At 39.9% G+C, this 26,153-nt stretch overlaps 1 protein-coding gene and 1 long non-coding RNA gene across 7 annotated transcripts in view; one reads left to right on the top strand and one right to left on the bottom strand.

Annotated features, from left to right (window-relative positions):
- The window catches only part of ADAMTS9-AS1 (ADAMTS9 antisense RNA 1), a 28,739-nt gene extending 4,820 nt beyond the window's left edge, over positions 1 to 23,919 (bottom strand). The window contains exons 1-2 of one of the 2 annotated variants that reach the window (NR_110150.1): positions 23,497 to 23,919; positions 1,754 to 1,992 (exon numbers count right to left, since the gene is read on the bottom strand). This is a non-coding gene — a long non-coding RNA (ADAMTS9 antisense RNA 1). The remainder of the gene's footprint in view (positions 1 to 1,753; positions 1,993 to 23,496) is intronic. The other variant, NR_110151.1, reaches the window with a different exon arrangement.
- ADAMTS9 (ADAM metallopeptidase with thrombospondin type 1 motif 9) overlaps positions 1 to 26,153 on the top strand; it is a 172,347-nt gene that overhangs the window by 102,736 nt on the left and 43,458 nt on the right. For all 5 annotated transcript variants that reach the window (XR_007095711.1, XR_245151.1, XR_007095712.1 and 2 more), the window contains 2 exons: positions 16,730 to 16,897; positions 23,514 to 23,687. Coding sequence is in view for 2 of the 5 variants with exons in the window: in NM_001318781.2 (NP_001305710.1) it covers positions 16,730 to 16,897; positions 23,514 to 23,687 (342 nt within the window). In the remaining 3 variants the exon portion in view is untranslated. The remainder of the gene's footprint in view (positions 1 to 16,729; positions 16,898 to 23,513; positions 23,688 to 26,153) is intronic.

The raw sequence follows: 26,153 nt of genomic DNA, 5'->3' as shown, positions 1-26,153 counted from the left end.
AACAGGGAAAAAGCAGACTGTGTTTGCTTCCTTTTTCTTAGCTAGGACAGAGGAAGAAATATAGACAGAGCCAACACATTTTAAGTGAAAAACCTGTTTCCCCAATCATTTATTTAATTGCCCCATACCTGAATTTCCTTCTGCCTAATGAAACCCACAGTTCAAACTGGGTGCCTCTCTCAAACTAGGCATACTATAAACAATGTTGAAATGAATGAATGAGCTCAGCTACTCAGGTGCTGAACTCCTTATTACATTAGCCCAGAAATATGGAAGTAAAGAGCTAACTGGTAGAAGGGAATCATTAAAAAGAAAGGCATAGGATTATTTAGTGCTGTTGTATTAATAATGATGATATCCTGACTTAGAGAGTTGTACGGTATTTACATAAAAGAGTGTCCTTGATTTGAGGAAAAAAGAGTTTTAGAGATGATGGGATGTTATGTCTCTAAATTACTCTCAAATTTTTCAGGGAAAGACAAAATAATAATAGCATATAGAGAGAGAGATGGGGGGAGCAAATGTGGTGAAATGTTGGCAATTGGGGACTCAGGATGAGGGGATAAGGGAGATCTTTATGATGTTCTTGCAATCTTTCTATAAGTTGGAAAATTTTCAAAATAAGTTACTTTATAAAATTTCTTAAAGAAACAAATGTATTCAGAGTGTGTTTTTTCCTTCACAAGGAAGTAAAGAGTAGATCTGGATTTATTTCACAACTTTAAAAATTCTGACACATTCTAGGAAGCTGTTTTTAATCTGAGATTTGCACTGTAATGTGATAAAAAAGGGAGTGGGGTGTGGCAGAGCTCAGCAGAAACAGAATCTTTCCTACTTTTTTATTGGCCTTTTCCCATGATTTTCTCTTTCCTAAGCCTTCTCTCCTCCTCCCTCCTCCCCATCCCACCCATGCAGCTAAACTGAAAGGCCTCTGAGAATGGTGCATTTTTTTTGCTTCCCTTTTCCCAGGGGAATCTAGACTTTTATTGCATCTCTTCCTAGTAAATTCCAGTAAATATCTGGCCATATGCAGACTCTGCCTTTTCTTAATCGACTGCTATCCAGTCCACATCCAGATTCCTTTGAAAATGAAAGCATTTTCCCAAAAATGTGTGCTGTTTGTTTTCCTTGAGATTAATAAAAGCCCCACCTAGCCCACTTACCTATTCCTGCCTTGGTATGTGTCCTTTCTTGGTGAAATCATTATTTCCTTCTTTTTGGTTGTCTTTGAATCAGACGTAACATATCCGAGCCCCCCGCAGGGTGCAGGGTCATGGACATAATGTCAGGGAGGAAGTTCTGTTCAGAAGAACGTGTTTGTTCATTGTAATTGGGATCTTCATTGTTGTGCATGGGAATTGATTTCACGTTGTACACGGCACGTTTTCTATAGATGGGGGCTTCCTAACCCTTTTAGCTGGAGCCCCTGACTTCATTGAGCGGATGTTCAGCAGGCCCTTTACAACTCCCATCAACAAAGAATCTCTGTGTGCCCTGACCTCACCAAGTCAATTTGAATCAATTCAGTTTTGAGAACTTGCTGAAGGACTTTCTGAGAACCTTAGTATAATTCAATAGTTCTCAATTGGGAGGTGATTTTAGCCTGCGGTGGACATTTGGCAATGTCTGGAGACAGTTTTGGTTGTTACAATGGGGATGCAGGTGCTATGGGCATCTAGTGGGTAGAGGCCAGGAATGCTGCTTAATAGTCTACAATGCACAGCACAACCCCAACAACAAAGAATTGGCTTACCCCAAATCTGGAAATAGTGCCACCATTGAGACATTTGGAGCCTCATTCAAAAGCGAAAGCTGAAAGTCACAGTTGCAAGTCCCGCAGCTATCTGAAAGCTCTTCTCTCTGGAGAGTTGAATTTCCCATAAAATGTAGGTGAGATTCCAGGGAGCCATCAAGGTCAGTCAAATCGAAGAAAGGTTTTCAAGGATGAGCTGAAAATATGAGATCTCAAACTTGTCTCACCAGACTGTGAATCTGCAAATCAACAAGCACCATCACTCATTTTGTGGGGCGGGGTTGAGGGTTAAAAGAGGTGGCAGATATTGTAAATGTGTGCAGATGTGCCCAACTGACCAACAGACATTCTGCATGGCAACTTTGACAAGAGTAATAAACTAAAAACAGCATAAATGTGGGTGGGCATTTCTAAGAAAACAAGGGTTATATCCTCATCATGTTCATAATGTTAGCATTGTCTGATAGCACTGATAGTTCATATATAGAGATTCCTTTTTAAGTTTATGTTTCAAACAGAGCTTCCCATATCAGTGATAGAATATGAATATATGAATAGGTCAGCAGTATCTAGGGATTGGTCAGACTTGAGCATCAGAGTTGAGTATATAGGTTTCTCTTTTGAGAACTCTTCTGGAAGTAGGATTAATTCTAGTGAGCATTTTACCTGATAATTTCTGATTAGGGACTAAGACAGCAGTACATAAAGTGTTCCATGGATTGTGAATAGGTATGAAGAAGGGTTTCCCAACCTTGGCACTATTCATATTTGGGGCCAGATAATTTTTTGTTGTAGGGACTGTTTGGGACATTGTAGATGCTTATCAGCATCCTTGACCTCTACCTACTGGATGCCAATAGCATACCCCCTCGGTTGTGACAGTGAAAAATATCTTCAGACGTTGCCAAATGTTCCCTGGGAGGCAATATCACCCTTCCTTTTCTGCCAGGTAGTTCTATGAATTTCTCACAGCAGAATTTCTCTTTCCATATTCCTATGGGCATTAGAGAGGTAGAACATCAGCATTTACCAGACATATTTGATACTAAGTCCCTATTTGTTAAGTCAGAGAAGTCTGAGGTTATAAAATCATTCCCTTCCTCCTCAAAGGGAAGTGAAATCCTTATATTGTAGAGATCACCAAGTTTTCATAGTCAGACATTTCCACTTTGTCTGGGTTTTTAAAAAACCTATCAGAGAAAACTATACATAGGGGATCACCTTTTCCAAATATGTGGCATTAACTTGGCTTTCCTATACATGAACTTCTGGGGAAGCAAGTTTCTGCAGTTCTACCTCCTCGCACCTCCTCTTTTCCACTCTGCAAATCTTTGCTCCTCTAGCAGATGGCAAATGCTATATATTTCCCAACCCCAACCCCCATGCCACACAAACACACTCAAAACGGCAGGTACAACTCTGAGATCAGAGGGTCAGAAAACATTTTAGATGATATGTCTTGGTCCCAGAAGGAAAATCAATCTCAATTCTTTTCCTTTAAAAAGGTCATTAACAATGGCCATAAACACTAGTAGTGACTCCAAAGCTTTGAGACTGGAGAAGAAATCTATTGGTAGAGGAAAGGCAAAGAAAATAAACCCAAGAGACTGTCATCAACCTCAGAAATTTTATGGTGGGACCTACACTCTAATGAAACATTGGATTTTCCCTGCAATGTTCAAACTTTATTTGATGGAAGACCACAGAAATATGTATTAAAGAACAGACTTATGCACTGGTGCCCAATGTGGAAGAGATCTTGGTTTTCCATAAGGGAAGTGGATGCTGTCTTTCAGAATTAATTGGAACCTTAAATTACCAATTGGCTATGTGAAAAGCCCTTTAAAATTAGAAATTGAATTTTGACTTTTGCCTAACTGTAATCTTACCGGTAATTCTAGGCTATAAATTGAGCACATGCAAATGTTTTGCCTAGGAAAGAATCCCTAAAAAATGAGAAATCTTGGCCAGGCATGGTGACTCACTTTGGGAAGCCCAAGGCAGGTGGTTTGCTTGAGCCCAGGAGTTCGAGACCAGCCTTGGCAACGTGGTGAAATCCCATCTCTACCAAAAATACAAAAATTAGCCAGTCTCACAACCTGGTCTCTAAATAAATAAATAAATAGATTAAAATTTTAAATGAAATTAAAAATTTTTTTAAAAAGAAAAATTGCCCCTAAACAAAGACACACCACCACCACCAAAAAGCTCACTGCTCTGAATGAATGACCTTCTCCACTTCAGTAGTTACCAACTGATGGACAATTAATTGTCTTACATTTCCTGATGTGGCACATATAGGTGCCCATTTGCAATTGGCCAAATGGATTTGACTAGAAGTGGAAAATAATAACAAAGGCCCTCATTTATTAAACATCTGATGTGAGCCCTGGCCTTGACCAGGTCCTTTGTGTGCATTATTGCCAATCCTCTTATAATCCTTGCAAAATAGGTCTTATGATGTCTATCGTGCGGACAGGAAAACTGAGATTTAGGGAAGTTAAGAAAGGTTCCCAATAATTATACAGTCAGTAATTATTGGATCCAGACCTGATGGACTCCAAAGCCCCATGTTTTTCCACTGCCTCTCTTGGGGAGCTTTCAAAACTTCTAGAAACATGAATTTTGGTTTGTGATGCATAAAAGAAACAAGCCTGAATAGAAACCAGTTCAGCCCTCTTTTGCTTTATAAAAGTCCCTGGGACTGGGTCCTTGGAATCTGAATGTTTCCCAAGGGTTTTTAGCCAGATTCCTGATTTTGTTTATTTTACTTATCACAAGTCAGAGATAGCTGAATATTTGCATTTCTGAATAGGATCTTTTTTTACATTTCACTTAGTTTTGAATGGCTTTCAAAGAAACTCAAATTTGGACTGGGTCACCCAGCAACCTCAGGCCAGAGCTTTGAAATGGATCAGTTTCCCCCTGGACTTTTACAGCATCCTAAAATGATGAGAATTAGTACATTTGTAAGGAAAGGTCCTACTGAGCTAAGAAAATTTGGTCTTTCTGGACACGGCCTGATCCTCATATTTGGGTAAAAAGTACTCTCCATAAGAGTTAGACTTCGTGGGGACTGGCTGTAGAGAGTTTGCAGGAGGGTGGCTATGATTTCATTCTATCAAATTCACTTTACAAAATCTTGGGCTCGGTATTGGTTTTAGAGTCCTGGATATCCTATACTTAGAAAGCAAGGCTTTTTCTAAATGAAAGAAAACTTATTAAAAAAATTGATCAGGATCACTGAGACACATTGTTTTGGAACAGAAGAGTGAATCTTCAGTTTTATGCTTTTAGATGTTTCCAGCCAAAAGAAAGAAAATACCTGGCCTGGATAAAACCCATTCTTGAGTATTGCATTTCATTGTATTCTGTTTTTCATATATATATACACACACATACATTTTTGCACCCATCTGACAAAAATGTCACTCTAAGATGACATCTTCAGGGAGAGGAAACAACATTATATGACACGCAGGGTATGTGGTGGGATCAGTGGCTAAGAATGCACTGTCAATGTTTCTTGCATTTACAGGGCAGTGTAGTATTCTGAGTTCCTAGCTTCTGCCTCTTGTCGGCTTCTTTTATATGATATTCTCAGATAATGTTCCCTTTAGATGTCGCCTGTGCATTTAGTTCTGTAGATATGAGTTAAATATTAAACCACAAGAATATGTGGCTAGTTTTGGACTGAATGGATATAAGAGACAGGAGACAGCAATTGTTATTTATTTGGTTCTAACAATAAACTGAGCATTGTGCAGAATGTTTACTTAATCTTTATTCTTGTGAGATAAGTGGTTCTAGGTTCTATTGGATATTATTTATTCACTTGTTTCATGCATTCATTTGGACATTCCATAAATGTTTGAGTGTTTTTTATAAACCAGGTACCATTCTAGGCATTTTGGATATAGGAGTGAAAAAAAACACACAAAAACCTTTGAACTCATTACGCTTACCTTCTAGTGGAGAGTGGAGACAAGCTACGAATCACAAACAAAACAAAAAAGTCAAATATATATTATGAAAGAAGACGGCAGTTGCCATAGATAAAAATAAATTAGGGAAGAAGGATAGGAGATAGCGTAGAAGAGTAGGTGAGAATTAGATTAAATTAAATTAGAGCTTAATTAAATTAATTAAAAGGAGGTTTAGGGAAGTCTCCATTAAGAAAGTGACATTTGAGCAAACATAGGGGAAAATACAAAAGGAAGCCATGTAAGTATCTGGGAGAAGAGTATTACAGGTTAAGGCCTGAAAGCGGGAGTACACCAGGCATCTCTTAGTGATACCAAAGAGACTAATGTGGCTAGAACAGAGGATGTGAATGATAGGATAGGAAATTACAGATGAAACTGAGGGAGACGAACATGGAGGCAGACTGTTGGGCAAGTAGAGGAAGGAGGGTTAGCCTATTGGACGGAGTTTTTGTTTTCACTTTGAGATAGGAAGGGACTGGCAGTGAAAACGTGGGTGGAGGCACTAAGCAGGAACATGAATTTGTTTTTAAAGGTTGACTCTGGCTTCTGGATTTAGCAGAGGGTACAGGAGGAACACACATGGAAGTGGTAAGACCATTGTAGTAACTCAGATGAGAGAAAGCATTGCTCAGATGACAGTGGTCACAAGGGAAGTGGTAAGGAGTGGTAGGATTTGGAAGAATTTTTGAGATAGTGCCAAAGGATTAGCTGAGAGTTGACTATGGGGTGCAAGAGTCAGAAAGGGGTCACAATGACTCCCGTTTTATGGACTGGACAAGTGAAAGGATGGAGTTGCCACCGATTAAAATGGGGAAGCCTACAGGAAGAACAGATTTGTGGAGGAAGAGCAGGACTTCTGTTTTGAACATGTTAAGTTTGAGATGTGTAGGCGTCATCACTTCATATCTCTGTTAAACAGAATTGAATATAGATGTTTGCAGTGGTTAAGCATCCTGCCAAAAATAACAAAGAAAGATATTTCCAGTCAGACCAGGTCTGACTGTCCTAACACCGTATTCATAGCCACTACACCCTTCTGCCTCAATCTTTTGATTTCCATCTGAATACATCTCAGAGTAGTGTAGGAATCATTTGAATTTGCAGAAAACCATCAAATGTAATTTTAGCCTTTTTCAATGCCAAGTCTTCTGTGTTGTGAGCCATTTACATTTTATCTGGTTATTACTGCTCATCCCGTCCTTTCATAGTGGTACTTTTGAGCCTTTTTTTTTTTTTAACCAAAGGAAGGCAGGAAGAGGAGACAAGAAAAGCCACAAAGGACTTGAATAATGCATATTGAGAGTGACTGTGTGCTGTCCAACCTCCCGATAGAGCAATGCTAAATTGGAGGATGAGCATCTAATTTGATAATGGTTAAAATGACCTTTATCCCTGCTGCTGAGATACATTTCTCTGGATACAGGCTCAGACACGTATGCAAATCTTAGTTCTGGAGTTGGCATTAATATCCACCCACAAGTAAATTAATTACATAAGCTGCTTCCCGAAAATGTTATAAAATTTTCAGGATAGTCTACCTGACATGCTGGCCTGTAAAGATGCTCCTTTCACAATGAGCTTACAGAAGAAGGGCCAGACAGGCAGAGAAAGTAAGACTGGAGGAAGCAACTGAATTAACTGTGTCCTGGTGTCTTTTAAATGACTTGTTGACACATAGATAGTTCTTTGGGAAGAGAACAAGATCCAAGGGGCAGATATTGGTTAGGTACATGGATCACTTCTCTACAGAAGCATTTCAGAAGGTGGCTGAAGCTTTCCAGCTCTGTCCCCTGACTGCTTTTGACAGTAGCATAAGTCATGTCAAGTGGGTCTGCCCCAGCACTGTCATCTCCTAGCAGACTGACATCTCCAGGTAGCCTTGAACTCTCCAGTCCAGGCCTTCAATCACAGTCCACCTTGAGAGTACCAAGAAACTTTGGTCACTGTTCCTACCAGTCATAGCTTTCCCACCAATTACTTACTCAGACACAACTTCACTCACCTCTGGAACAAATTTCTCACCCACCGCCCTCCCTGTCTTCCAGACGGCTTTCATAAATAATCCCATGGCAGGCATAGAGTGGGTCCTTGTATTATCTTCGCCTCTTTCTTGAAAAATGTGAACATCATTATTCTGCTGATGTCAGGTTACAAATAATCACCCGGTAAACCTTGAAAGGGAAAAGAAGTCCTACAAAAACAGGCAATGTGTTTGGGAATAAGGAATCAACAGGCTAATAGAGCCCTGTTACCCACATGAGGGGTAACACTGCCTGGTGATTATTGTCATCAGTTCCCCAGGGTACTCCTGGATATAGCCACGATAGAATTCACCAGGTGCTACATTTGCAGATTTCCTTGGTTTTTGTTTCTTTCTTGATGGGAAAGACAACGGTAAAATATTTCCACTCTTGGAGAACAAAAAGAGCCCTAATTTGGGTTTCATAGCTTGCATAACTGATTTCATATACTGCTATATTTAATGTTAAAATTTATTTTCCCCTCTAATATGAAGTTGTTACATTGTGAGATCGAAGGTTGGGGAACTGGAGCGCCCTGTCCCCCATATTCCTGGGGGCGTTGGGGTGGGAGTGGAAGATGTGAGCCCCTCGTTGTCTCCCTTTATTTGCCTGGCCCTGCCATCTCCCTTACTAAGCATATGCAGGGCCACCTACTTGGTTCTCATATTGACAGCAGCCTTCGACTGTGCTCCAAGAGTTGACATGTGAATCTTGGTTCCTTTTCTTAGACCTTTGTAGCGTTGCAAAGGCTGGAGTGTTGGGGGGCAGTGGGGATGGGAGGATGGCCTAATGCCCCATCCGGCTGGGATGACCGTGACTCCCACATCCGCTTTCTTCCTTGGTGTTCCCTGCCAATCTCAGGCGCTCTCAGCTCCTTTTCATGGTAATAAGTGCCAGGGTGGTCCCAGACATAAACAGCCATCAGGCAGGCCTTGTCAACACTGGCTTTACGCCCTGAAGTCACAGCCCTTGTTTCCTGGTAAAGCTTTCTCTCCATTTTTCCTCAATATTTTGGTTGTCGCTGCCACTGTTCAGAGCCATTCTTGTTTTGTGAGAAGCCTGTAAAACCTCCCCTGAGTGAGTTCATTGCCAATAAGGAGATGTGTTTTTTGACAAAGGACTGTGACAACTCTCACAGCAGAGCAGGGCGTGGCAGGGAAGTGAGTGACTGTGGATTCTGTAATGGTTATCATTGACGCTGCTTCTGTGGCTCAGGACATTTAAAGAAATGGCATAACAAAAGACAAGGGAGAAACGCAGGAGTTCTTGAGAAAACCTAAGTGTAAGCAGGGAATGATGGAGTAGAAAAGGGATGTGGCATTCAGATACAGCATCTTTCCTCTCCTTACTCTGGTGAGAAGAGACAATACTGGTAAGTAATAGTCTCTAAGAGAGAAAAGGGCACTACAGAAGGAATCTTCAACGTATATAACTGCTCTGTGGATTGATTTCTCTGGGAACTTTGGAAAGAAAAGCACTTTGCCCATTCACAGGGATGAGATCTTGCCAAAGTCCCACCTTTACCTATCAATGCCTCTGTTAGAATGTTAGACTCCATTAGTTAACAAAATTTTTTTAAACTCACCTTTTAAACTTCGTGTTAAGAGATATTCTAAAAGGGTCCACTGAATAGAAATAATAGTAGTAATGATGCAAAAAAAATGTACCATTTGTATGCTGTCTGGCTGAAACACAAAGAGCTTTGCATGCATTGTCTCATTTAATTGTAACACAGTGATATTGGGTACAGTTACTACTATTCTCCCATCTTACAGAGAACAAATCTGAGCTGAGAGATGAAGTCACTTGCCCCTAGTGGCACCTTGGTAAAATGACAGGTAGGGTAGGATTCCAGCCCAGGCCTGTCTGACTCTCAAACCTTTGCAACATTTTAAAGCAAAATGAAGACAAGCACCCTCCCCACCACCCCAGCTGCCATTTCCTGTGTTGGCAGCACCCAAGCACCCCTTGGAATTTGCTCTTTGCTGGTGCTTTGGAACAAGAGGTTGTTACACTCTTGCTTAGGGGTGAGAAAGAATCAGAGTGTGTGGTTAGCTGTGGTTTTTGAACAACACCATAACCTAGCCCCAGGCCCCCATTGCGACGGGAGCCAAATAGCATTCTGTGCTAGGGACAGAAGATTCTTCAGCCTGCATTTTCTCCTTCCCTGCTGTGTGACCTTGGGCACAACATCTCTCCTTTTCTCTAGTCTTGAATTTGTAAAATAAATAGATGGACAGAATAATCTTTGAGATGCCCTGCAGATTGAGCATTCAAGAGATTTTTCCTTGGTGAATTGCCAGGGGGCCAAAATTTACAACCTGCAGCCTTCCCTTCTTGACCGTGTAAAGAGCATTCACCCATCAATGGAAATAGTAATCTACTATGTGGCATCTGGCAGGCCTCAACGAGTTAATAAACCCTGAAAAATGTCCAAGAGAAAAGTAGGGTAGCTTCAGTCAAGGGGAAATGTGGCCCTTTATTTATGGGATTGTATGTTTGCTTTTTATAGTGTCTTTCTTCACAGGCACTAAAGGTGTTGTGAGAAAAGGCATTAAAGTCAGAGCTATTAACATTGCGTAGCTACTCTCTTCGTGGGAGACTGAGGAATCAGGCAACTCTAAAAGTCTTAAGAGACATTTCCTGAGGTCCTTGCTTTCTGTTGTTGCCATGGGTAAGTAGAGGTGAGCAACTGGTTGTCTTAACCAGGCCATTTTTCCAGTGTAGCTTAAGGATTAAAGTGGTTGGGGTGTGTGTGTGGGGAGGGGGGCGGTGTGTGTGTGTCTTGCCCTGTCAACCAGGCTGGAGTGCAGTAGCACAGTCATAGCTCACTAACCCCAAACCCCTAGGCTCAATCAATGCTCCTAACTCAGTTGCCCAAGCAGTTGGAACAACAGCTGTGCATCACCATGCCCAGCTAATTTTTCTTTTTTTTTTTTTTTTTTGTAGAGATGGGGTCTTGTCATGTTGCCCAGGCCAGTCTCAAACTCCTGGGTTCAAGTGATCCTCCCACCTCTGCCTCCCAAAATTCTGGCATTAAAGTCATGAGCCAGAGTGACCAGCCATGCTGTATGTAAAGCCTAACTCTCCTGCTTCCTGGTGCTATGACCCTGGGCAAGTGACGTCACCTCTTTGACCCTCAGTCTCCTTATCGATACAAAAAAAATCCTAATAGCTCCTGAGCCACCAGACTGCTGTTGGAATTAAATGAGAGAAACCAGTGTTCTTTATCCCAATATCCTGCTCATAATAAGAACACAATGAAAGGTAGCTAGTATGATTTTCAGGAGTTCTGCTCAAACTGAAAGAGAGTGCTCTTGGGGTGGCCTTTTTGAATCTAAATAACTTGTGCCAAATGAGTTCAGTATTAGCACCATGAGTCGGATTCCAGGTGGTTCTTTCATTCCGGCCTTTACAAAAACATGGCATTGGTTTATAGTACACCTCTGTGATGGCTATAGTTTTCATATGTTCATTCATTTCCATAAATATTTGCTGACTGACTACAGTGTGGAAAGCAGCAAGTAAACATGTATGAGTTGCAGCTACTATCTTTTTTCCATGTGGTAAGCCCCACATGGTTTTCCAGGCCTTCCACTGAGCAATGTTTGAAACTTTGATCACTAAATCTATATCCTTGTGTTTATGGTCTTTCTTCAGTGGAATAGTAGGTACAGGCTGGCATCTCCTTTGCCTCCCCCAACAGTGTGACGCTCATGCAGTATTCACTTCATTTGTCACTGTCATTGGCAAAGGCAGTCCTGAACCTTGGGCATATGCGTTGCATCCTTTCTGATGACATACTTTCCAGATGAGCTGTGATTTTATGTTTTGTTAAAGTTAAAAGGAGAGTGGAATCAAGAAGAGTTTGTTGTTGTATGAAAAGATACAACTGAATATTTTTTAAATGAAGTGATTTAGATGTTATTTTCATAGTCTGTAGACTCACAAGGGAAAGGCCTTGAATAGTAATTCCTTCAGTCTCCTGTCTCAAAACACCTATCTGAGTAATGGTTAGCCATCTGTTGTCAAAAATCCTTAGATCAGAAGAGCCTTGACAACTTGGTAATAGGTTCTCGTATATGACATTTATCTTGGCCTTTCAGTGCTTGTTATTTCTCACCTGCTATCAGCCAGTCCTGTGGTTGGAAATATGGACTAGTTGGTCAGCACCCCCATTTCATATTTCATGTATACAGAATCTCATCAATCCAGACCACTTGGGAATGGGAATCACCTAGATACATAGAACTGTGCCCAGACACTGTGCTAGGGCTGTCCCCCTGGCCCATGCATTAGTCCTTGCATAGCAGGCATCTGCTATAACTCAGGCAGTCCTGGTCCTCATTCAGTCCCCTTCTAGTGCTTTTTCTAAGCCCCTGCCTTTTCTTTTTTTCTTTTTCCATTTTTTTTTTTTTTTTTTTTAAGATGGAGTCTCACTCACTCCGTCGCCAGGCTGGAGTGCAGTGGAGGATCTTGACTCACTGCAACCTCCACCTCCCAGGTTCAAGCGATTCTCCTTCCTCAGCCTCCTGAGTAGCTGGAACTACAGGTGCATGCCACCATGCCCAGCTAATTTTTGTATTTTTAGTAGAGATGGGGTTTCACCATGTTGGCTAGAATGGTCCTGATCTCTTGACCTTGTGATCCGCCTGCCTCGGCCTCCCAAAGTCCTGGGATTACAGGCGTGAGCCACCGCACCCGGCCGCCCCTGCTTTTTCTAAGCCCCTGCATCTTCCAGCCCCACCCAGAAGCCTCTTTCTGGCCAGATCCTGTGTACATCTCTGACCTCTACCTTCCCCTTCTTATTCCTTCTTGGTTCTTTATGGTATCTTTAGCAACTCTGTGTAGAAATCCATCTTGTTTTGGATGTCCAGGTCCTTGGCAGCCTCAGCAACCCCAGGGATCCCATTCTCTTTAGTTCTCCAGCCCTTCTCATTCAGGCAGACACACCAGGGCTGTTTTCTGGCTTCTCAATAACTAAGAAACCACGTTCCTCTGTATAAGTGAAAGGACCAATGTGGGGCATCCCTAAAACCAGAGACAGCACACCAAACCCATATTCGTCTGCACCATATCCAGTGCTACTTCTTGAGAGAGAGCCCTCGATAGAGGTTAAGAACAGACGGCCCATGTCTTGAGTTTCCTTTCCACCAGATGAATTGAAATGCAAGGATTTCAAGCTCTTAGACCTTAATTAGTGAAAAGTGTTAACACAATCTCTGAACAAAACACCACATTTCAACATCCCCTTCAAGCCACCCAACAGAAACAAAAGCCTGAATACCCAGGCACTTGGGATGCTGACCTTGGTGCTGCTAAGTAACAAACAGAGATTACATTGTCTGGGAGTCTTGCTCAAAGTTGGGAGGAAGATCATTCTGTTACACAAAGTTGGGTTGTTTCCCAAGAAAAAAAAGTCAGAGTCCTATTGGCAAAGTAGGAGGCTTTTTGGCTGTGAATTTGAGGAATTAAATATTCCCTAGAGCAAGAACTATCAGATGTGTAACCAATAAATAGCACGTACTAGGTGACACACTAAATTTGACGATTATGTCTCAGTGACACATGGTGATGTAAAAGTCAGTGCCTGAGAAAGGACTGGAAATGATCTGATGGAAATTTCCCTCAGAATGTAAGAGCTGAAACTTGTGTTTATTTGATTATCAAAATGATAGCCCCTCTATCAGGTCATAGTAGGCCCATTAATAAACCTGTTAGATTTGAACATTTCCACGAGCAGCTGCTTTTCTTCATTGGTAAGTTAGAAAGCATTAAAAGAAGAGTATTTGCTATCAGATTAGATACCTTGAGAATTTCCTAATTGCCTTTAGATCTTAACAATATTAGGCAGATAATAAGTATGGCAAGTGCTGCATTGTTTTTTCCAAGTCAATTCCAGTCAAGTCCCCAAATTTAAAAACAAAAACAAAACCCTGGAATGGGTAGGTTACAGCTAGTCCAGATAGTGAAAAGATAAGGCATTGTATTTAGAAGCTACTTCATTCATCTTCATTCCATTAGCAATAGATGTCAGTTATACCTCAGATGAATTTTTATCAGTGAGGTTGGTGATAATTTAACTATTTTTCACTGTGCTGTTATTGTTTCCAACAGAAATGTATTCATTTGTGTTGAAGTCATGTGGGAAGCACTATATAAAGCATTGTGGTTATGCCATTCTGAAAACACCAATTGTCTCCACTAATAGTACCTATCTCTATTACTGAGTTTCACTGGGTTATTGGGATGATTAAATTAGATGATGCATATAAAGTCTTAGGGCAGTGCCTGGCTCATAAATGTGAGAGAGTTGTACCTTTTCCAATTCTTCCTCTACAGGTTGTTGCCAACTTTTAGGCTGTAACTTCTGATGACCACAGTAGATTACTAAATTAATATTTCTAACAACTCTCTTTTCCCTTATATATTAAGAGACAGCTTGTTTGGACTATTTGTATATTGAAGTGACTGTCCCTACATATAGACTTGTGTTAAGGTCACCCATGTTCATTTGATTACTCTGACACAACTATGTTTCTTCACCCTAGTCAAGCAAATTTTACCACCCATGATTCTATATCCTTTAAGTTCAACTCATTTCCTAGAAATAAATATATCTTTGACTCCCAATGCTGTATCTCCCAGTTTTCCCCATCTCTGTAAGTGTTATCACTATCTACCCAATTGCCCAAACCAGAAACCTGAAAGTTATCCCTGATACTGCCCTTTCCTCTCCACCCTAGAGTAGATCCATCATTTCTACTTCAAAAAAATACATCTTTTTTTTTTTTTTTTTTTTTTTTTTTGAGACGGAGTCTTGCTCTTTCGCCCAGGCTGGAGTACAGTGGCGCTGTCTTGGCTCACTGCAAGCTCTGCCTCCCGGGTTCACACCATTCTCCTGCCTCAGCCTCCCAACTTCCCCTACCTAAGCATTCCTGAGTGACTTTCTCATTTCCACTCACACTGTTTTCCCACTTGGGCTCTACTCAGGCAAAGTAAATGTTTTGAAACAAAAATCAGACCATGTCTTACTCTGACTTGAAACTCTTCAGTGATTTTTCATCTTGTGCAGAATAAAATCCAAACTCATAATTGTAGCTCATAGCTTTGCTGCCTGACCCCAGGAAGTACCTCAGTGAGCCCTCTTCCAACCATTCCAGCCTGTTTGTTTCCTAGTACTTACCTCAATGAATAATCATATATTTATTTTTGTCATCACTTAATTAATGTCAGCTTCCCTCACTGGTCTGTAAGCTCCATGAAGACAGAGACTTGTCAATTTTGTTTATCGCTACATTTCTAGTACTTTGCATAATTTCTGGAACATTGTAGGTGCTCTATAAATGTTTGTCGAATAAATAAATGAATTCATTCCAAATCTAATTGAACCCTTATATTATTTTCTTTTCAGAGAAATGTTTTAAAATATTAAAATTGGTCACTATTAATAGGGATTATCTGTGTGCAAGTCATCAGCATACTTCTAGAGATTTGTGGAGATACTTCTAGGAACTTCATTCTAAAAGCCTTCTAGAATTATATCGCAAAGTCTTTATATAGATCAAACACTACAGGTTGAATGATGAATATTTTTGTTTTGGTATAGATATTTCAAGTTGGATGGCTTCCTTCCATCCTGTATACTCCATTAAGATTTTCAGAATGACTACTCCAAATCATAATATTCATAAGATTAGAGCTCAAATGAAAACAGCAATATTTTCACCTCCTAAAGTTAAAAAAATTAAAGCCAAATGTATTAATATACGTACTTCACATTTCTCTATGAGCAACTATTGAACTTTTTATAGTGGTTTGTGTTTACTAGAAAAACATGTCTGGTACATTTATGAATGGATAACTGAGCATGCTTGGTAATAGTGGTTGAGTTAATATGTTTCATGAGTTACATGTTTCACATGGTGCTATTTATTAGGCATAAAAGGGCATGTTGGTAATTTAACAAAATCACAAAGTTAGTGGGGGAAATAAATATTGAATAGAAGGAAATGACACTTGAAATCTGTTTTCATTGCGTTTTCACATTTTGTTCTTCATTCTTAAATTCATTTCCCTCTAAAAAGCAAGACCATTATATTGGGAAATAATGTGTCTTGAAAACCCGAGCCAGCAGCTTATGATCTGAGTGGTAATGACTTCTGTAATCACTAATGAGGCAATGGACATTGCATATCTCAGCACACTCACTGGGGCCAGCCTCTTGCCTGTTTTACAAGAAGCTGTCATATCAAATTTTTGTCCCGACTCCATGGGCACTTTGATTCCTAAACCTTTCTGAGAAACCTAATCTGAAATCAAAGTCAAGTTTCTCAGATGTGGTCAGACAAGGTCACATTTAAAACAGTCCAGTGAATCTGCAGATCAAAGTTGAAAGGTAATGCCTCCCTCCCAAAATTGGCACAGACTTACCTGCTAGCTTACCTTTCAGTTTCTAACGTGCCTTTTTCACCTCTTCCCAGTGGACTGGGAAAACGAGAGCTTATCCTCTGGAAAATGGTTCAAGAGTTTTATTCTTAAATCATTTAATTAAGAAATTGAACATAGTTGTATTTTGGAAATGCACCTTTATCCCAGTCAGTGAATCACAGGCATTTTGTTGAAGAAATATATCACTATTTCATAGTAGGACTTCTTAAAATCAGAATTTCATGGTAATTTCAGGTTCATGAGCTTTATTTTTGGCTCCAATTCTCAGGATTTACCCACACTCTTGAGTGAGCCAAAAATGCCACACAGGATTGCTGCTGTAATGCTGTGGACATTTTTTTTTTCAATGCCACCTTCCTTCCCTATTAAGCCTTGAGATATTATCCAAACTGGCGCTGTAAAAGAGGGGAATGGTAACTCTTGTTAGGCATTGTCTTAACATCTCAAGACGCAGGTTTTTTCTCAAACTCCGTGTAATTAAAAAACAACAACAACCTTGCCATTGCTTTATATTGCAGTGTTCTGTCTCTTGTGGTCGAGGGCATAAACAACGAAATGTTTACTGCATGGCAAAAGATGGAAGCCATTTAGAAAGTGATTACTGTAAGCACCTGGCTAAGCCACATGGGCACAGAAAGTGCCGAGGAGGAAGATGCCCCAAATGGAAAGCTGGCGCTTGGAGTCAGGTGAGCAATGCTTCTCCTCTACTGACTGCTTCCTTACGTTTGGCCACGTGGCTGACCCCAGTGTGTTCACTTGTGTTTCTATGCACGGTTTTGGTTTTACCGAGGGGAGCTCGGGGACTGGGAGGGGAGAATCATTACCTAGATAGTCAGGATACTTACTAGCTGTGTGACATTGGGCTCCAGCCTCTGGAGCTTTGGATAATACCTATAATTAGGGGTGGCTGTGAGGGTGAATTCTAAGTGGAAATAGGGATCAGATGGAGCACAGGTCAGCCCCTCAATACTTCACTGATGGCATTGCATTATCACCACATAGAAAACTACTAACTCAGACTGCACTGAAGCTGACTGTGGTCACCTGGCAGAAATTGAGTCTCAGTTTATCTTGGAGGTTCTTGAAGAAAGGGCTGTTGACGAAAGTTCTAGAAAATACCTCTGCCCATTTGCTTGCTTACAAAAGGTGAAGGACAGAAGAGAGAGTTCTCTGTTATTTTCTAGCTATATGACCTTGGGTAATTTAATTTTCCTGAGCCTACTACACATGGCTCTTATGACGATTTAATGCAATCATGAATGCCCAGCGCTTTGCAGGGGTCTTCAATCTAGTAGGCTCTCAAGAGTTATATTTTGTTTGGACAAGTGTGATGTGTGTATGGGATGGAGAAGGGTGTGAGTACCCAAGACACTGATTACAGTTAGACTCCACTAATTCTAAACATTTCATAAGCTAGTCAGGAACTGGGTGTGAGTTTCCCTATTGAACTTGAAACAGGAACCTTAGAAGCTTCTGTTTAATCTCTAAACACTGGATATGTGAACTAAAGCCGTTCATATCAAATCCTTAGAGTAGATCTGGTAACTCCACACTTGCACATTTTCTTAGTTTGGTTGAAGGTGCTAACTTAAAAGTAATAAGGCTCAATTTCTTTTAAAACATTCTGTATTTAATGCTGCTCCTTCTCTCCACTGATCTGAATCAATGAAGTTTTACTGTATTTCCGGTGCTTCCATGCAGTGGAGAATCATTCAGATGACTCCAGATAATCGATGGGAATCTAGGTTCAAGGTTGGCGGGCTCTAGCATGGATTCTTCCAGAGCCTAGAATCTTGATTCTTAAGGCCCCAAAGCAGCTTTGGTCATAGCGTACATTAATGTGGGGAGGATTCGAGAATCCTCCATTTCAATATGACTAATGGAAAATTCCTTCAGAAACCTGAATGTATTTTCAATGCCCTGATCTGGCATCACTGCCCTCCATATCCTCCAGTCATCATTCCTCAGGGCAGTGGCCTCATGCCTCTCAAGGCCTTTATCATAATGAAACATGGGGGTTTTGTTTGTTTTAATTTAACAATAAAAAAAAAATCTATACCCAGCCAGAGCTGGTTCCTCCTTTGCCTTCCTTCGGGGAGCATATTCAAGGCAATATTTCATACCAGTCATCCTTCTTAATGTTTTTCTAAGTGATCCTTGTCATCTGTTAACTTCCATCCCTTTTTTTTTTTGGAGCTATTCGATTCATGTAAAAGCTTGCAGCTAGCATTATTTAAGATACCACGCTAATTAGCTTGTCTCTTGTGGACTTTCATGATCTGTTACTTTTTTTTTTAATGTTCCTTGGCCTCTACTTATCTGTTTTATTTACCTCTGAATATTAATTAAGTTCAGAGCATATAAATGATGCTCATGTTAAAAGCCAATATTCACAAAGGATAATTAAAAGAATCTTTTGCTCTTTATTGGTAAACACAGAGTGAGTTTTAATCCAGCATCATGTGATCTTGATGGGAAGCCTAAAATTGCTTACAAAGCTGAAATGATTAGGTTTAAACCCTGGGGGTTTTTGCCAACATAAGGTAATAGGATTATCAGAATGCCTCCCCAGAATAAACTGCACCTGTTCAAAATGATTGCTCGGAAAAGTCAAGTCACCTTTGTAGAAAATGCAAGTAAACACAGTTATATAATGGTCTGTGGCCAGCCTTATAATGTCCTGATTTGATTTGTAGAAATAAATAAGAAAAGCAGGCAAGACAAAGTACTGCATGGGTAAAATTCAATTTGGGCAATTTAGAAGTGTACCTGAAAATAATCAGACCCAGTGGTTAATGGAGAAAGACGGTCTGCATGATTAAAGATTATTGGCTTCCTAATGATCCAGTGGTAAACAAGAATATCCCTAAGACTGTGATAGTAAGCAAGAGTAATGATTGTCCACTTGCAGCAATATTTAGAAGATTTTATATCTGGTCTTTCTGTTTTCTGCTGGTAGTTACAGCCTAGTCATCCTGTCTTCAAGGTAGGAAAAATAATTGGTTTAATTTCTCATCACATCGAAAGGTCTGATGATAATATGATATATAGGATATTCGGATAGAAACTACAATAGCCATGCTAATCTTTACAGTTTCTCTGCTAGTATTGATGTTTTGAGATTTAAAGTGGAATATTTCACTTCTGTGTCTTCTGAAATCTTGAATTTGTAAAGAAAATCAGCTTTTCTTGAAGGAGGGGTGGAATTATTCTTACTGAAGCCTTAAAGGGTTTTTCTCTCTCCAAAAAGATTACATTTCATTTGTTTAGATATTTTTAATCAAGAGCTAAGGAATGCCTATGAACTTTTACGACAAAAATTAGCATCAAGTTCTTGATTCAGACTGACAAATGTGAAGACTCAATATTCCCATGATACAAAAAGCGTTTCACAGTAAAACTTTTTTAACTTATCCTATCGCTATAGAGTTTTTAAAATAAAGATCAAAAATAAAAAGAATAAATTATCAGATTAGAATGAAGGTAACACACCAATGCATTAATCAATCATGAATTCATGCAATCAAGTCATTCATCAGTTCTGAGATGCAGATCTTCTTCACAGTTCAACACCTTTGTGGTCAGGATGGGCTTCACAAACTATGCAATGTCATGATTTCCTTAACAGCCCTTGTTGTCTTTCTTAGTGCTACAAAATATAATGGTGTGTTTTGCAATCAGTGTTGTCTTACATTCAATGAAATAAGCATCAATTTTTAAAAGATCTCCAGTGCTAATGCTGAAATGGAATCTACCATCCATTCTTGATTAAGACTTTTCTTATAATTATAATTAGAGCAGCTGTATTGTGATGTCATTCTGAAGTGTCCTTCAAGTGTTTAATGGAGAAATGTGGCAAATGTGTGGCTTGTGTTCTTTGAGAAATTAAGGAAGCCATATGCACATGGTCAGTGAGGAGAACTAGAGTTGCTTTAGTATTTTGTGCTTTCCATTTATTTTGTTTGTATTTGAAGCATGAGCATTGGTATTGAATTGTTTGAAGACAGGCCTCTCACCCACACCCTCACTGACCTGCTACAAAAGACTGCATCATATTAGCACCAATTTAAAAACTGGGATCGCAAACGCACATTCGCAGTAGCTATGCTACCTTGTCTAAGACAAATTTTACTTTGTGTTTTTGGTTTTGTTTTTGCTTGAGTTCGGGTGATTATCTCTGTTTTTTTGTTTTATTTATTTATGAAGTATCTGCCTAAAAGGTTTATTGGGAAGTATCAGAGGTATTTTATGTAAAATGCTTAGCCTAGAGCTAAGCTTTCAAATGGGGGTGATTTTGTACCCCATGGGACATTTGGGAATGTCTAGAGACAGTTTTGTCACAAGTTGGGGGGGAATAAGGGGGAACTAGCATCTGGTAGTTACAAACCAGGTATGCTGCTAAACTTTCTACAATGCACACGACAACGCCCCCCCCACACACAAAAAAGAATTATTTAATTGAGAAACCTCAGTATACTAGCATATACTGTATGCTAGTATAGAAACCCTAGCATATAGTAAGTGTTTAGTAAAAGTTTGTGTTATTATTGCTATTATTGTTACTTATAAAAGTTGGTTTATATAGTTGTTTTTCAAACTAATCGCTGCTTTAATGTCATCACCATAATTTCAGCAGTAATCCTGGAAGAAAGTATATAAAACTATTTCTAGGTTTTCAAGTATATATTATGATTCCCTAAACATCAAAAGTTCAATGGAGATTCTTTCTCTCTATGGAAATAAGCATCAAGTTCCCCTTTTAAGTTGGTGAGTTCTGCATACTAGCATTGCACAGTGGGGAGTAGAGAGAGATGAAACATAGCTCCCAGCTCAGGAGTTCAGAGTGAAAAACGTCTACTTTGAAACCTGCACGAATAGACTGTGGTGGTGGGATGATGGCTGTGGGGGGAGCACATTAATAGAGGCCATTCAGATGTTTTCATCTGCAAACGAACTAAAAGGTGTACTGAACAGAACAAGAAAACTTGGATTTACACACACATACACATACCACCACCATCACTGCCTCCGGGGTCACACAGAGGTCTTTCTGCTGCTGTTTTATTCATGGGGTGCCTGCACAAATCTCTCAGAATTCCAAGCAAGCCTGGCTGGCTCTCTATGCAAACTGTTGCCTCCCTTGAGATAGCACAGGAAGAAAAGTTGAACACAGAAAACTAACTCCGATGGAGTGGACCTCATTTTGAGCAAAGATTACTGTGAATGCATTATTCAGAAAGGCAGGCTTGTACCTTGCTGTGAGCACTTAAGTCATGTAGAAACTTTTGAATGTGGTATTTCAAAGCTGGCTTTGCATCATGAAAATCAGAAGCCAGAATGACATATCGTATAATTGAACTTTCCTGTGTCTTAATTTGTCTTTTGAAAAATTATCAAACATTGTAGGAAGTGATTTTTTAAATGTTGGATACTTATGGCTCTTAGTACCGTGCCTTCGTTGAACCATAAGTAATTTTTTCAATTACAATAGCTTCAAAAAGAGGTTTCATTTATTTAGTAGCCTGAATAGTCTTATACATTCTAAAAGTCTTTAAATATGTTTTCATTTTTCTTTAGGTTATTAAAACATTATGAGATTCTGCATATAGTTGAGTCCTATACCAAACTCAAATTTGTTTACAATATTCTTTCTGTATTTGTATTTGGATATATTGTTCCAGAAACGTGCTCTTTTATATTTAAGACCCCAAATTGAAATAGTCAAAAGACTTTTTGGTTGTTGTTTATTGATGATGATAATATTTGAACATGTCCATCATTTATGGGGTAACTCTATCATGTTACAGTACATTCTTTTCCAGTGTAATCAATGGGAAATATTATTCATGTAGCTCTAATGAGCATTAAATGGCCATTCTCTATAGATAGGGTCATCACTTGTGTTCAGGAATCCTCCCATTACACCCAGGACATAATGACTTTAAAAGTCTGGTTTCTTGTGGGTCACAAACTCATTCAATCCAATTAATACAATTGAGCCCAAACAATAGTAGCTATGTTGATCCAAAATATTTTCTTCTGTTCAGCTAGCTTTGATGTGAACATATGGTTCTCCTCTCTGGCATAGATTTATCTGAAACAGTATGATTTCTCAAGTTACCTTCTAAATATCGTTACCTGTTTTCTTAAAATCTGAAATGGAGAGAAAATTACCATTCAGCAGAATACATTTGGGTGTGATTCTTGATAGTAAATTTCCATTAATAGTCTCAAAGAAAGTTGAATGTTGCTACAGGTTAATTGGAAAATAATTTTTTCAAGTTTGAAAGGTCATGATTCTATTATTTAAGAAGACTTCCTCTTAGGAATATGGCTTTAATGTATGTTAAGCTTATTTTCTCAACACCAGACCAAAAAATGGAGGCTGAGCTATCACAAAAATTTGGAAATAATTTTTAATAGCTAAGTGTAATAATATACCATTCTTTCCAAATGTTGCCTTTAGTTTCTGGCTGTCAAAACCTTAATCAAGACAATAATTCTTGGCCTGGCCATAAGTGAGATTATGAAACCCAGCAATGAGGAAACCATTAAAAAATTAATTTAGAGGAAAGTTAATTGCAGATTTAATATGGTGTTTTGCAAGTTGGTCAGCAAAATGTTTCAACATGATTAACAATATTTTTCAAGGGCTGAAAACATTAAGCCCGAGGAAATGGTTTTTCCTGTCAGCTTTTATTCTTCATATATTCATCTGAGGTTGTAAATAGACACAAATTCTTTAGTGAATTCTGTGGTTAAAAAAATATCGCCTTATCTCCATGAATAGGAGCAAGAAAAGGAAGAGACTGGAGAAAATAATTCTACTTATAAAGTCCTAAAATCTTCAGTGGTTTACTTCTCCTTGGGTTATATTTTTAATCTGCCAAGAAATTCTTCTTGTACAACACTGTCTCTCCAGTTTTCATGAGTCTCAAATCCTCCAGGATAGAAATCATTTCAAGTTTTCATTTCTCATGGCAGCACTATTTCCAGGTTGTGCTAAATGATTCATAATGATTTTTATTAACCTCTTCAATCCTCTAAGAATTACATTAACTTGAGGGATTCCTCCAAACTTGAGCACCTTCCTCACTCTCCAGCGTGGATAAGATAAGCAGTGAGTTTCCAGGTTTAAGACATGATCTAGGATCCCTTTCATTGCAAATTAGAAAGCGATGTGATAGCTATGAAAGTCATTGGATTAGGAGTGCATTCCCCTCCTCTGTGACCCTCGACACCCCCCGCCCCCCCAAAAAATAAATGAGCCGAAGCTCCCACTTACGTTCTCTGTCTTCTTAGTGCTCTGTGTCCTGTGGCCGAGGCGTACAGCAGAGGCATGTGGGCTGTCAGATCGGAACACACAAAATAGCCAGAGAGACCGAGTGCAACCCATACACCAGACCGGAGTCGGAACGCGACTGCCAAGGCCCACGGTGTCCCCTCTACACTTGGAGGGCAGAGGAATGGCAAGAAGTAAGTAGAGCCACAAAGGGGTACCTGCCAGGCATTTCACGTGTGCGCCCCTTGCTATCCTCACATCTGTTCCCTATAAAGCCAGAGAAGTCACCGAGCACGGTTACAATGCTGGCTCTTTCCCAAAAGGTTCACTGTCAGACTCGCGCATTCGCTCCAACAAGGGTGGGAGAACTTCTTGTTTTTAAGCAATTCCTACGTCTGTCTGTATTCCTGAGTGTTCCAAGTCTGGCCGCCTCAAAAAAAAAAAAAAAAACTTTAACAGGCTGTGGGCCGAATGCATTCAGATATCTTTCACAGAAGGAGGGGGAGATAGAAGGAATATTTTAAATACGTGTCTCCAGATTTGGTCATTCTGTATCTGTTTAAATAGCCGCAGGGCAGACTTTAGGTAGAACCTACTCTGTATTTTTCCTCTTTCTATGACTTTGGCTGTCAGGTAGAAGATAGGCATTCATGTGAAACCTTGATTAATTAGTGAAAGATTTCTAACATTTAAAAAAAAAAAAAAAGGATGGTATCTGAAGAAACTGCTCCGTTGATGGTCCGTGCAGAAGTGGACAGGCCTTGCTTTTTCCCTGGCTTCAAGTTAATGTTTGGTTAAGGAAAACATTGTGTCCATGGGGAAAAGTTTGGCCAGGGAGGTTTTATAGGAGGTAACCTCTGTTTCCAGAACAGAAGATTAAACTGTAGAAAAGGGGGGGAAAGAATTAGAAAGCAAAACAATATCCACTGATGTTGGCATAAAAAACAAAATGCATGCTGCTTGAGGTGCAGAGATAATGAAAAATAAGGCAGGAAATTCCCCACCATGAAGAGTTTTTCAGAACATAAAGAAAGGGTATGGTTTGGAGAACAGTTAGACTGTACCCCTGGCACTGTGCTGGGTACTTTTTGTTCATTGCTTCCCTTAATCTTTTTAACCACCAGACAAGGTGAGCATTATTATTATTATCATCATCCCATTTTGCAGGTGAAAAAACTGAGGTTCACAGAATCTGTGTCATTTGTCCAAGTGTCACATACCTAGCACCTAGCAAGTGGAAGAAGCAAGACTTCATGCTAAGCTTGTTCTCTTAAACCATTAAGAAATACTAGAACTGCATTCTTTACCCCATTGGGATTCAGCCGCCCAGCCCTGTCTTCCTCTTCCCTCGCCTCCTCATGGATTACTTCCATTGGTTGCAGTAATTTCTTTTCTTTAGGAAACTCACCCTCTCCATCTACTCAGTCTTTTTCCTGTTTTCCTTCTTTACTTTTTTATTCCCACCAGACAGTGGCAGGGAGGAATGCCTAAAGCAGTTACATTTCAGATTAACAGCTCTTGAGCCACACCAGTTATTTGGAACCCTAGAGACTATAAAATTCTACAGACTTGGTTCATATCCTAGCACTGCCACACATTAGCCAAGGGAATTAGAACAAGGATTCTTGATTTCTCTGAGCCTTGGATTATCCATTTGTAGAATGGGGATAAAATAACTTTTCAGAGTTGTTCTGAGAAAACTGGAGGTAATAGTGTTATCTATTATGGTTTGGGGATTGGCAACGTCAGATATAGAAGGAAGAGGAGACTCCCTCATCTCTCTCGCTCTCCCCCTCAGTGTGACCTCTTGATTCTCTTTTTTTCAGACCTACCATGGCCTGCTCTCTCCATCTCCCTCTTTGTGTCACGCTAAACTCAACCCTGCTCCGAGGAGCGGAAAGTAAGAGAGTGTTCAGAAATGAATCTAAGCTGACTGCTTGTGCTTTAGCCAGCTTTTGAAAATGCTAGAGCCAATCACGAAAATGCACACTCTGTTTACAATTCCTTTTGCATCCCGAAGAATGGAAAAACCTTGCCACATATGCACTGAGGAAATTCCTCTTCTCTGATCATGCACAATATGCCTAAAATTTACTTCTTTGCATGTGTCGTGCAGATGGATCTTTTTTAAACCTTACTCAAATATTCCTGTTAAACTCTGTGGAAGAATAGACGGCTTCAGGAGATAACCTGGCCTGGGCCTCTATTTAAGAAGCTTACTAGAGGGTTGCCATTCTCACAAAGAGAAAAGACTCTGTGAGTAACAGGAAAAGCAGAGTCTAATAGTCACCCTCCTGGGAACACGCTTTCTCATCTGCCTTCACCCAAAGTGGAGGGTCTAAGGAAGGAATACTGGGGTGGTGAAAGTGGACGGAATATCATAGGAGTATCTCCTATGATATTCCTATGGTATTCTACAGGAGGCCTCTCATTGGCAGAGTGAGGCCCAGGGCAGCTGGAGGTGGGGAGAAGCCCCACCAAAAGTCTTCATGTTTCCCATACATGCAAGGCCTGCTGACAGCCTGCTCAGAATGTCCCCAAAGCAGCAAGACTGAGCGTGAAGGACGACAGTAACTGGGCAATTACCTTAATTGATCAAATCAGGAAAAGGGTGGCCACGCCTCCTGTTTGCCTGGGGTAGTCCTCATGTAATTATTAAT

This window comes from Homo sapiens, chromosome 3 (assembly GCF_000001405.40).
Source record: "Homo sapiens chromosome 3, GRCh38.p14 Primary Assembly".
In the NCBI taxonomy this organism is placed as follows: Eukaryota; Metazoa; Chordata; class Mammalia; order Primates; family Hominidae; genus Homo; species Homo sapiens.
The sequence above is the reverse complement of the archived record's forward strand: the minus strand, read 5'-3'. Positions and strand labels throughout refer to the sequence as shown.